The sequence below is a fragment of the Homo sapiens genome, chromosome 22, assembly GCF_000001405.40.
Source record: "Homo sapiens chromosome 22, GRCh38.p14 Primary Assembly".
In the NCBI taxonomy this organism is placed as follows: domain Eukaryota; kingdom Metazoa; phylum Chordata; class Mammalia; order Primates; family Hominidae; genus Homo; species Homo sapiens.
In genome coordinates, this window is record NC_000022.11 from 39,710,048 (window position 1) to 39,722,355 (window position 12,308).

General features: G+C 53.1%; 2 annotated features.

Annotated features, from left to right (window-relative positions):
- Positions 8,671 to 9,391: an enhancer, noted in NCBI's record as "H3K4me1 hESC enhancer chr22:40114723-40115443 (GRCh37/hg19 assembly coordinates)". NCBI's record gives its function as "activates a minimal SCP1, AML or CMV promoter by ChIP-STARR-seq in naive H9 embryonic stem cells {active_cell/tissue: H9 hESC(naive)}" and the evidence as "EXISTENCE:reporter gene assay evidence [ECO:0000049][PMID:30033119]".
- Positions 9,392 to 10,111: an enhancer, noted in NCBI's record as "H3K4me1 hESC enhancer chr22:40115444-40116163 (GRCh37/hg19 assembly coordinates)". NCBI's record gives its function as "activates a minimal SCP1, AML or CMV promoter by ChIP-STARR-seq in naive H9 embryonic stem cells {active_cell/tissue: H9 hESC(naive)}" and the evidence as "EXISTENCE:reporter gene assay evidence [ECO:0000049][PMID:30033119]".

Below are 12,308 nucleotides of genomic sequence, written 5' to 3' on the forward strand. Positions count from 1 at the left end.
GCCATGCTGGCTACAGCTCTGGGTCTCATGCTGTCCTCCACCCCACACCCCGGCGGCCCGAATGTCCTTCCCCTCCCAACCTCCTGTGTTTTGCCAAATAATTCCTATGAGTCTTAGAAGGACTTCTAATTTTTAAGATGCTCCAGTGGCATTGCCTTCTGCAGGAAGCCCTCCCCGAGCTGCAAAACCCTCTCCGCTCTCACTGCACTAGGTAATGCCACCGCCTGTCTGGGACTTGTCTGTCCCCAGTGTCCCATCTCCTCCAGAACACTAGCTCTGTCCCAAATTGCAGCCCATGAGATTGCCCGAATCTGCCGCTCCCGGGAACCCTGCTGTAGATCAGAAACTTCCACTCAGATGGAGCCCCCAAAACAGAGGAGAAGCTTGCCCAGAACCAGCAGGGTCCTGAAGCTGGATCCTGAAGGAAGGCGGCCAGCCTCCGGGCACCCAGGTTACATGCCCCTCAGCTGCCAGCACCCGCTCTGCTCTCTCTCTCCTTGGAGAACAGGTGCCCTGCCCTGAGGGCATGGAGGTGCCACCTGGGATTTCTGCTCCGGGGCAAAGAGCTCTGAGGCCAAAGCTGCTCAGCCAGCTGCCTTTTCTCCCAGATTCTGCTCAGGCACAGCTGCCCTCACCGTGTCTTTGGTGAAAGTTGTCAGGGTAAAAATGGAGTCACTTGTGTTTAAAACCCTGACAAACAGAGCCAGAGAAGGCTACAAAGGGAGGGTTCTCGTGCATGAATGCCTGATACCAAGAACTATCATAAAAGTCTCTTTAAAAACCACCACTTTGCACAAAGGCCATTGCAACCTTACACAGAAAACCGCTCCTGGAGGACATCGGCCCAGCAGCTGCCTGTCCAGCCTTGGATTGGTGCCACCCTTGTTCCTGATTCTAGCAGCCAAGGATACTTATCTTAAAATGATGACCTAATCCTCTTCATTTTCCTTTAAAAACCTTTGCCTTCCTTGACCTCCCTGGACGCACATGCAGTTTACCACGGCACACATATTTCCACGTAGCGCCCGTTCCCAAATGAACCTCATTTTTTGTAGAAAGCCTCTTCCAGTTTGTTAGGTTGACACGTCACATCCACGGCAGGGAGCCATGCAGCTCTTAGGGTCCCCGTGCTCTCAGCTCACTCACTGCAGACTCGCAACATTTTACTTTTCATTGCATGTTCTCACTGGGAGGACCTGGGGTGGACCCCAGTGGCGTCAGGATTGGATCCATCTGGAAATCCCTCAGGTGCTTGGACAAGTGGGTCCCCGATTCTAGGAGCCTAAGAAGAGGACCTGGCAAGGACCCAGATGGTCCTCGTCAAGATGAGGACGGGGCCGCCTGTGCCTTGAAACCTGCCTGGCAAGAAGTGTCCCTGCTCGTCAGGGGGTGGGGGGAGCGGGGCGAGGGTGGGAAATGTCTTGCTAGGAGAGAGTTTTTTATTCTTTAACTTATATAAGCTGTGGCCACAGTGCGCTCCTTCGAGACGCAGTGTTCCCTGTGCCCATACTGCAGGAGCCTCAGAAGGACAATAAACTTCCTGCTCATTCTGGAACAGGCTGGTTTCCATCGTGTCTTCCTCATTACCCCATAGCCTCAAGGGCCCAGCAAGGCTCTGTGTGCAGCAGAAAAGGTGCTTACAGCCCCCGCCTTACAGGCTCAGGGGGCATCCAGGCTCAGGTGTTATGGGTGGCATCGGGCTGCCCAGCCTGCTTCTTTCCAGACCCTGGTATTGGCCTTGCTTATATGTTTTTACATTCCTTCCATTCCTCAGAAATGCTACTGGTGCGAATCAAACCTTTCTGTGAAGCAAGAAACAGAGGGATTTAGGATTCAAGCCTAGGTCAGGCAGGCTGAGCATAGCTTTGATAGCAGTGGAGGGGCTGGAAGTGGAGGTGATGGAGGTGGAGATGACAGCAGTGGGGATGATGGAAGTGGAGGTGACAGCAGTGGAGGTGATGGAAATGGAGGGGACAGTGGTGGTGACAGCAGTGGAGGTGACGGAGGTGGAGGTGACAGTGGTGGAGGTCACAGCAGTGGAGGGGTTGGAAGTGGAGGTGACAGGGTGGGGGTGATAGCAGTGGAGGTGACAGTGGTGGGGGTGATGGAAGTGGAGGTGACAGTGGTGGGGGTGATGGAAGTGGAGGTGACAGTGGTGGGGGTGATGGAAGTGGAGGGGACAGCAGTGGGGATGATGGAAGTGGAGGTGACAGTGGTGGAGGTGATGGAAGTGGAGGTGACAGTGGTGGAGGTGATGGAAGTGGAGGTGAGAGTAGTGGTTGTGAAGAAAGTGGAGGTGATGGAAGTGGAGGTGTTGAAGTCAAGCATATGATGTTAGAAGCAGCTGCAGTGCAAAGAGGGCACATGGTGGTGCCTCCTCATGGGTCTGAGATGGGATTCACGGGGATGACATGCCCAGCCTAGCACCTGGCACAGGCAAGTGCCCGGTCAGTGCCCACTGGCTGCTGCTCTGAGCCTCCCTTTTTCCAGCCACATGCTGGGTGCAGAGGATGCAGAAGGGGATGAACCTGGCTTCCTTCCCTGAAGACTCTCCCCAGCTGAGGATGGAAGCTCTCAGGGTTTGTTGGATGGGAAGGAGCAAATCCCTCTCGAGCCCGTTTAAATAAGGTGAGTTTGAATCAGGCTCTAGGGGGATCTCCCAACACTTAATTGCAGTTAGGGAGGGTCTCTCCTGGTCCCTTTCTGTCTGCCAGCTCCATCCTCCACACTACAGGCAGGCTTCCCTGACAAGGCCCTTTTGGCTGTCCCATAGCTTTGTCGTGTGTGGGGCCCTACAGCTTCTCTTACCTCCGCCTCTGCAACTCCCAAGCCCAGCACTGCCTGCCTGACACTCAGCTGCTCCGATTTCCCAGGACAGGAGTCCAATTAGTCCTGGTCTGATCAGTGGTGGACAGGGGGCGGTCTCCTGGAGGGAGGGAGCACACCCTTGTCACTGGCTGTAGAACAAAGTCTCTTTGGAAGGTGCCCATGTGCGTCTCTATCACAGATGAAAAGCTGTATAAGCTATTCACCCACTGCAGCGGGAGCCCAGAGGAGGGGGGAGAGGCCCTGCTTGGGGTGATCCCAGGAGATTTCACAGAAGAGGAAGATTCAGCCCCAGGCTGCAGGCTTCTGAAGGCTGGGCTAGGTCTTGTGTGAATCCCCAGCACCTGGGGCCTGGCCCAGGGGAGATGATGAATGAATGAATGAGTGAGTGAATGAATGACAGTCAAAACATGAATGGGCTTGGCTGTGAGGCCGGCATTGGAGGTGGGCAGGGACAGGCAGGACCAGTGCAGGACACCCCGCAGAGTGTCGGGCTGAGCTAGTATGCGGCACCCAGGGAGGCCTTGTGACCTTCGACCCAGCAATTCCACCTTTAGGAGGGTATTCCGCGGAATGACTATTTACTACGGCGCGGAAGCAGACTGACGTTCCATCAAAAAGGGATCCAGACACTCTGCACCGGGGAGCATTCACACAGTGGAATTCCAGGAAGCCTTTAGAGAGAATCAAGTCCATCTGATAAAAGAAGGTCTGCAAGCTGCTTGGCTAAACAGCAGGTACAGGATCAGCTGTGTAAAACACAAATCGGGAATGGGATGGGGCGGGGCGGGTGGGCTGGGTCCTTCCCTGCGTGCAGAAGGGACAGCCATGGCTGTCTGAGGGGAAGAGGTGGGGCTGGAGATGGAGACCAACTTATCATCGAGCCTCCTGCTTTTGCCCTTTTTATTTCTGTCTCAGTTTTAAAAGTATGACTAAAAATAGAAAATAATAACACGAAACTTATTTAGCACCTTTCCAGCGGAAGGAGCAAGCTGCTTGCTAAAAATGTGATCAATCTTTCAAAAGTGTTCCCCAAACATAGAGGAAGGAGGACCCTGGTTTAGAGCAGGGCCGAGGCTGGCTCTGGGGGAGGTGAGGGGCTGGATCCACAGGTGGGAGGGCGGTCCTGGCTGATGCCACCGGAAGAGACTTGGGGCAGGGGCTGAGGGAGGGCAACAGACGGACCAGGCTGAGTCTGGGCCTGGGAGAGCCAGACAGGGTCATGGCCACAGGGGTTCAGCTGAGGCCTGGGTTCCCCAGTCCAGGGCACTGCAACAGAAATCATTGCAGGTTCACGCGGCAGCCAGAATATAGCAGCATAAAGGCTGTGAGTGCTGCAGTGTGTGGCATAGCCCTGGCTTACCTGGCTTGGTGCGAGACCCTTTCCACTGACTCTCACCGACACCTCTAAAGATCATGCGCCATGAGCACGGTGATGATCCCATCTTACAGACAAGGAAGCTCAGGTTCAAGCAAGTCCAGGTGATCCAGCCGGTAGTAGCAGAGGGTACAGTAGTAGACAGTCCCTGTCTGCGCTATTCTTCAGGGTGGCTGAGAGCCCCAGACTCACTGTGGATACCAGTGAGGCTTCTGGGGCCACAAGCCCTCACCGGCACCTCTGTGACTGAGCAGCGCAGAGCAGGCCGTCCCTGATGCCCACTCAGGCCTGCTTAGTGGGGTCTGTGTCCTGCTCAGCCTGAGCCTAAGGGAATGCCCTGTACACCTGGGAGGTGGTGGCGCTGTAGAAAGATGTATTGTTTCCTCTAAAGGTGTCTTTGCCAGGGAGAGGCATGGGGCATTGTGCATTCGATTACTGCACGCCCTTGAGAAGGGAGGTGTCCAGAGGAAACAAGGATGGAGGGGTGGCACTGGGTCTGGCTGTTCTCTCTGTATTTCTGTGAAATACTGACCCCGACCTGAGCTGGGCCCGCGGGAAGCATGGACATTTCCCCACCTGTCCGGTAGATGAGGTCACAGAAGTGGGCTTAGAAAGGGTGTAGCCGAGAGGCTGGGGGCTGCACTCCTCAGCTGGGCATTTAGGGGTGGGCTCAGCTGTTCAGAGACCACCCCTTCCCTGCTGTGGAAGAGGAGCAGTGCGTACACTGGCAGGACTGGATTCATTTCAAAGAACTTCGTAAATTCGTGACGTTTATTTAATTTTGAGGCAGGGTCTTGCTCTGCTGCCCAGGCTGGACTGCAGTGGTGCGATCATGGCTCACTGCAGCTTTGAACTCCTGGACTCCAGCAGTTCTACCGCCCCAGCCTCCCAAATAGCTGGGACTACAGGTGAGCACTGTCACGACTGGCTAAATCTCTTATTTTTATTTTTAAAATTTTCTATAGAGATGGGGTTCTCACTCTGTTGCCCAGGCTTGTCTCACACTCCTGGTCTCATGTGATATTCTTGCCTCGGCCTCCCAAAGTGCGAGGATAATAGGAGTGAGCCACTGTGCCTGGCAGCTTTTTAGGATTTGAGGCCGACCATGTCCCTGACCAGAATTCATGATTTTTAATAAAAGTAGCTGCGAAGCATGAGCCGCGATCGCGCCACTGCACTCTAGCCTGGGTGACAGAGCAAGACTCCGTCTCAAAATAAAATAAAATAAAAGTAGCTGCAAAGCAGTATAAACCTGAGTGCAGCTTATTCTTCAGGGCCTTTGCGAGTTTCTGTCCAAGCGCTGCGGGGCTGTCCCCTTCCTTCGGCTGTCCCCCCACCCCCCATCCCTGCCCCAGTGACGCTGCCACGTGCTTGAGCAGGAGCGGTCAACCTTCATACTCCTTTGCTGGGGGGGCTTGGTTGGATTGAATGTATTCAGTGAAGAGTTCTGGAGTTGCTACTGTGTTTTCGTACACCCTAAAACTGCCTGGTGTTTTATAAACCCAATCTCTTAATCCAAACCCAAACGGGGGTCACTGTCTCCATTTTACAGACGAGGAAGAAGAGGTGGCTTGCCCACGGTCTCACAGCAGGCAGGGGCCCAGCTGGGACGCTGCCCCAGACCTGCCACTTCCTGGCCCTGGAGCAGTCTCAGCGGCAGCTCGCGAGGGGCCCGGATGCTGGGGACACAGCTGGCTCTCTCCTCGCTCTGCCTTGTCTTGAGCTTGTCCCAAGTCTTGGGAGTCCCCGGGGCTGATACAGACAGTGATGGACCTGGTGGAGTCTTTCACGTCAGACCCTGGCACACCAGCCTCTCCATGCTCCCGACCCATGTCCTGGCGCTTCCTGCCCCCCCGCCAGGGCCCGTGCAGACCTCTACTGCAGACCCCAGCCTGCCCTCCCGAGAGCCTCCCAACTCCTAGACAAAATAAGCAGGTTCAGATTCCAGGCCTGAAACTTCTAGCTGGGTGAACCTGGGAAAGTTTCTTCCCCACTCCGAGCCTCGGTTTCCTCACTTGTCGAATGTGGGTAACTCTCCTTGTTACTGTTCTGACTCCTGCAGTTCCCCCCTCTTGGCTGGAAATTAGAGCTGGGCAGCCACGGAGGCAGCCAAGGCCGACAACGGCCTGTGCCTCACCTGACTTCTGGCAGATGCGTGACCACCCTTCCGGTCCTCAGTTGTCACCAAGTCCTTCCCCTGCCTGATCCTACCAGATGCCAAGCCCTGAAGGTACCACATCCGCACCGCTGCTGCCACATCCCACCTCACTCTGGGCCCGTCCATCATGCCACCCCTGGCCCGGGGCCTCACCTGCGCTTTTGAATAAATGGATGTGAGTGAATGAATGTGATCATAGAGGCTGGCCTGGCTATCAGCCATGTTGGGGACTCTTCGTGGGTCTCTGGACTGACTTCAGGATTCAGAATCAGGCAGGGGCAGCGTCTTGGTGGGACAGCCTTGTTCAACAGTCAACTCAGTTTTCGCGCAGGGTCTTTCTAAAGGCCGTTGTCTAGGGCTGGAGGGCGGGGGAGGCCTCGGACAGCCGGAACTCAGGAATTGGAACTCAGGAGCTGGTATTTCCTGGGTCTTCACTTTAAGGAAGATGTGAGCTGCTAGGAGCTGGGGACTGAGCTGGGCAGTGAGCTAGGAAGAAGGAAGGGACTTCCTGGAAGACAGACAGACAAATACACGCACACACATGCACACACTGTCTTTTCTGTTTAATAGAGGTATATAATATGTGCAGCAAGCAGTGTGAAGTGCAAAGCGAACAAATCTCAAATACACAGCCTGATTAACTTTTCCATATGCGCACACCCTTGTTCAAGATACGGAATAGCCTCCCAGAAAGAAGGCCTCCTCTTGCCCCTCCCAGTCAATCCCAGCCCCTTCCCCAGAGGTAGCCACGTTTTGGTCTCTCTCACCGTATACTAGTTTTGCCTATTCTTGAACTTTGTATGCAGCAAATCACACAATGCAGCCTTTTGTGCCTGGCTTCTTTCACTCAGTGCAGTGTCTGCGAGAGTCAGCCGTGCCGTCATGTGGATCAATAGCTCATTTCTCTATCTCTGAGGAGCTCTTCATTGTGCGGGTGTAACACTGCTCACCCTTCCTCCTGTCGGTGGGCATCTGGCTTGTTTCCATTCTTTGTCGACTTTGAATACAGCTGCTCTGAGCATTCTTGCACTTGTCTTTGGTTGGATATGTGGACTCTTTTCTCTTAGGTAGACACCCAGTGGTGCAATTGCTAAGTTATAGGATAGGCCGGTCAGATTAACCATTGGTGCACTGGTTTAACCACCGGCTCTTTGAGGAGAATGTGGTGTTGACCAGCTTCCCTGGAGTAAAGAATCCTACCATGGCCAGTCTCGAGCTGCCGAGGCGAAGTCACTGCACCCAGGTAAATTCCATCGGACCCTGGAGTCCACATGAGCTGGCTCAAGAACACCTCTGGGCAGCTTTTCCTTAGGAGCGTGTTCAAATAGAACAGGGCCTGGGAACAGGATTATTCCTCCAATAAATGAATGTGAGTGAGTGAATGGGATCACAGGGGCCGGCCTGGCTATCAGCCATGCTGTGGACCTCTTGGGGGCCTCTGGAATGACTTTAGGATTCAGAATCAGGCAGGGGCGGCATCTTGGCGGGACAGCCTTGGTCAACCGCAGAGATTGGGCTGTGTGGCGAAACATGGGTCCATTCTTGAGGGCACCCTTGATGCTTATATTTACTTGACAACGGTGTCATCCCAGCATACTCTCTGGGCTAAAGGGCAAGTGTCCACCTCTCACCAGCAGTAAAAGGGGACCGTGGGCTGGGCACAGTGGCTTACGCCTGTAATCCCAGCACTTTGGGAGGCTGAGGCGGGTGGATCACCTGAGGTCAGCAGTTTGAGACCAGCCTAGCCAACATGGTGAAACCCTGTCTCTACTAAAAAAACAAAAATTAGCTGGGCGCAGTGGCGGGTGCCTGTCATCCCAGCTAGTTGGGAGGCTAAGGAGGTTGCAGTGAGCCGAGATTGCACCATTGTACTCCAGCTGGGCGACAAGAGCAAAACTCTGTCTCAAAAAACAAAAACGAAACCAAAAATGGGGGACCGTGTATCTTTGAGGGCAGCGTGCCCATGGTGGCTGGGATCAGCCAGCCACTCCCAAGGTGAACTGTGGAGGAGAGGTGCCCCACCCCTGCCAGCAGTGTCTCTTTGCTGCCAACTTGGACGGTCTTATTAAGGAAACTTGTAATTTCTGTATCAAAACCAAGGCTCAGAGAGCTTAAGGTCACACAGCCAGCAAGAGGGAGCCAAGCTGGATGCTACCTCTGAAGATTGGTGCTTGGAAAGGAAATCTCTAGCATCAGAAGTGTAAGCCTTTAGTGATGGTGTAAACGATACCTTGAAGCTCGTTTGGAAGACCGAGACCAGGCCAGACAGGTCTTTCTGCTTCATTCAAGAGCCCCCAGTTCCAGCCGGGCACCATGGCTCAGCCTGTAATCCCAGCACTTTGGGAGGCCGAGGTGGGAGGATAGTTGAGACCAGGAGTTTGAGACCAGCCTGGGCAGCAGCATGGTGAAACCCTGTCTCTACTAAAAATACAAAAATTAGCTGGGCCTGATGGGGCATGCCTGTGGTCCCAGCTACTTGAGACGCTGGGGTGGGAGGATCACCCGAGCCTGGGAGGTCTAGACTGTAGTGGACTGTGATTGTGCCACTGCTCTCCAGCCTGGGTGACAGAGACTCTGTCTCAAAAAAAGGGCCCGTCAGTTCCTCACTGTGGTATTTTACAGGCAGTGAGAAGTCAGCCTTCTATCACCAGAGTGCGTGGAGCCTCTCCAGTCCAGGCACACTGCGGCTGTAACGAATCTGCCACTCTGAGGGCCTGCAGCCACCAAGGGCATGGCTGTTCCCAAGAAGCGCTCCGTGTTGATCTTCATCTCTGCTCACACTCCCTGCCCAGGGCGGGATGGATTCAGCATTCCTAGGGCTGCCTGGGCCGCTGCCCCAACTCCATCTCTCTTCCCTATTCCCCTGGGTCTGCCCAGCAGGCACTGACACACCCCTTGCCTCTCCTCAGTACAGACATTTCCTGGAGCCCCCTTACCTATAGGAGAAAGTTCAAATGCCCAGGCTTGTTGGTGGTCCTCCTGGGCCTTGTAGAAGGTGGCACCTGCCTGCTTCCCAGAACAGCCCCTGCAGTCACTAACTTCCTACCCAAAAGTGGCCAAGGACAGAGCACAGGGTGGGCCACATTCTGGGGCCTTGGTCCCTGAGGAGGGGTCCTCAAGACCACCATGGTGGCAGCAGTAGAAGGAGCCCAAATCTGGGCCTTGTGAGCCCCCTGCCCTGAAGCTGGACTTCTAGATTGGTTTCACTTTTCTTCTTCCATCCCACCTCCTCGTGCCACATCCTCTAGCCATGTGGCGGTGAAGTGTGTGATGGGGATGGTGTGATGGGGAGGGTGGGGGCAGCTCCCCTCCCTTGTGGGTTGCTGTGAAGAGTGGAGATGCTGGATGGGGCTCCTGGCAGGGCGCTCCACCTACTGACTGGCAGGTGGCCCCATCCCCCAGTCGGTGCCCGGCCACCAATGGCTCTGTCACTTCCCTGGTTTGCTCTGCCCCCGGCAGGTTTGGTTCCGTTCCAGCGTAGACATAGTCTAATCTGGGTCGGTTTGCATCACCAGTGGCCTTAAATGCAAATACGAGATTTCCTTCTTTACCTTTTCAATCATTTTGATTTTATCTTATAGAAAAGACCGAAAGGCATAGCCTTAGTGGTTCACTGTGGTTGGAGGGGACTGGGATTGGGGTGGAGTTTTTTCCTGTCTCTTTCTATGGGTTCTTTTGAAACCAGATTCTCTCTCCACCCTGACCTTATCTGAGCCCCTGCTGGAAGCCTCTGACTAATGGATGTAAGTGGGGAGTGAAAGAAAATGGACAAGCAAACATTAGCCTGAACAAAGGCTAAGTTCTGTTTTTAACATTTGAGACGGGGGTGTCATGGGACGGGGGCTGGAAGGACCAGGGCTCTAGTGAGAGGCCATGGGTCTGAGCCCTGCTGTTTTACCCGGCATGTGGCCCAGGACAGCCCCTTAGCTTCTCAGAGACTTGGTCCCTCCCATATGAACTGGGGTAATTGCGTTTACCTCCAAACCTTGTTGGGGATCAAATGAAATAATGTGTGGAGAAAACACCTTCTAAAGGGGAAAACCAGTGTTTCACTAATAGCCATTGAGGATCTTTCCCCATTTAAAATATATGTGAGATATCCATATGACAGAATAGCATTCAGCATTAAAAAGGAGGGACATTCTGACACATCCCACGACCTTGGATGGACCTTGAGGATGTAATGCCTGTCACGGAAAGACAAATACTGGGAAATACAGACAAATAAAGACAAATACACGGAATACAAATACTCACTTAGATGAGGGGGTCTAGAGTGTCAAAGTCATACAGACAAGAAGTAGATGGGGTTACCAGGGGCTGGGCCAGGGGGAACAGAGAGTTAGTGTTTCACGGGTGCAGACTTTCAGTGGGGGAGGATGAGAAGGTTCTGCAGAGGGGTAGTGATGATGGCTGCATATCAATGGGAATGGACTTACTACCACAGAACTGCATGCTCACAACTGGTCACGACGGTAAATTCTATGTGAGGTATATTTTACCACAATAAAAAAATGTGTGACAGCCACTTTGGGAATGGAAAATGCAGGGATGGAAACATACACCTCATTCCAAAAAAAAAAAAATAAGTCTGTGTGTATGTGGATTTCCTTTATATAGATGACAAGTGAAATGCAGGGAAAAGAGAGGAAACAGAAGGGAAGGTGCCAGCCTGCAAGGCTGGGGTTTTTATAGCCTCCGAGTCAGTGTCCTTCACATTGGAGAAAGGCTGATATTGCCTGTAACATTTTTAAAGGTCAAAACCAACTGGAACTTCAGCCCCATGCCTAAATGCATGAAAATAGCAAATTTAAAAATTAATTACAAGGGCTCTCCTGCTGACACCTGGGTGCCAGCTCTGTTGGTGCAGAGCCAAGAGGGACAGTCACTCTCAAAGATGCCACTGTTCTCAGGAAGCCCTTTCACTGTCTGCTTCTATTCTCGGGAGCCAGCTAAGCTCTGCTTTATGCCATTGTCCCTGGGCAACAATACGTTTTGAAATGAAAAATGTTCTAATTGGATACAAAGGAGACACTTTCCAGATTCCAAGCCCAGACGGGAATAAAGACTACTTAGAGGGCAGAAGGAAGAACAATTCAGCCAGGATGCTCAGGGAACCCTAAATCATCTTCAAACTTCCTGAGCTGTATGCTAACCTCTGAGACTCCGTGGCACAGGAGAGTAGCCAGCCCCGGACCCCGGGGGCGGAGCACTTAGGGAATGCCTGCCATAGAGAAGGCTTTGCACTTGTCCTCTGACTGAAGTTCCCCCACCGCCCTGTGCGTGGTTACCAGCCCCTCTGTTTTTCAGATGAGCAATGCAATACTCCCAAAGGCTAAGATAGCTTGCCCTAGGTCAAGGTCATCAGCCTTAACAGTTAGAGCCTATGTGGCTTCAATCCTTGCTCTGCCTATGGTAAAGTCCTTTCCAACTTATTATAGTGCCAGCCTTTAGTCTAAGGAGCAAAAGACCTAGATTCTGTTCCAAGCTTGTGTCTAGGAGGCCTTGGGTTAAGCACTGACTCATTTTGAAAGTGGTGATAATTTCTGTACCCATGAGTATGGCTGGGTTTTGCTGCAGTAACACACATTCATGCTATACCCACTGCTGGCTAACTGGGGACCCTGCTCTGGGGGTCCTCCTTCTGGGACCTGGGCCACACCAGGGCAGGCAACAAGTGACTTGTAGCGGAAAGGCTTCAGCCGTATCCTTTAAGTGACATGGCCATGCCTAACTTCCAGGGGGTGGGGAGCACCATTTCGCCTTGTCCCTGGGAGAAAGAGAACCAGGCACTCGTGCCTACGATGGGAGTTTCCCAGCTTGCTTCACTGGGTTGTTAGGATGGAGAGGGAATTGTGTATGATGTGCCTTGTGAGATATCAAGCCCTCTGCAGATGTAAATTACACACACGAAACACAAATGTAAATTACAAACATAAACCATGA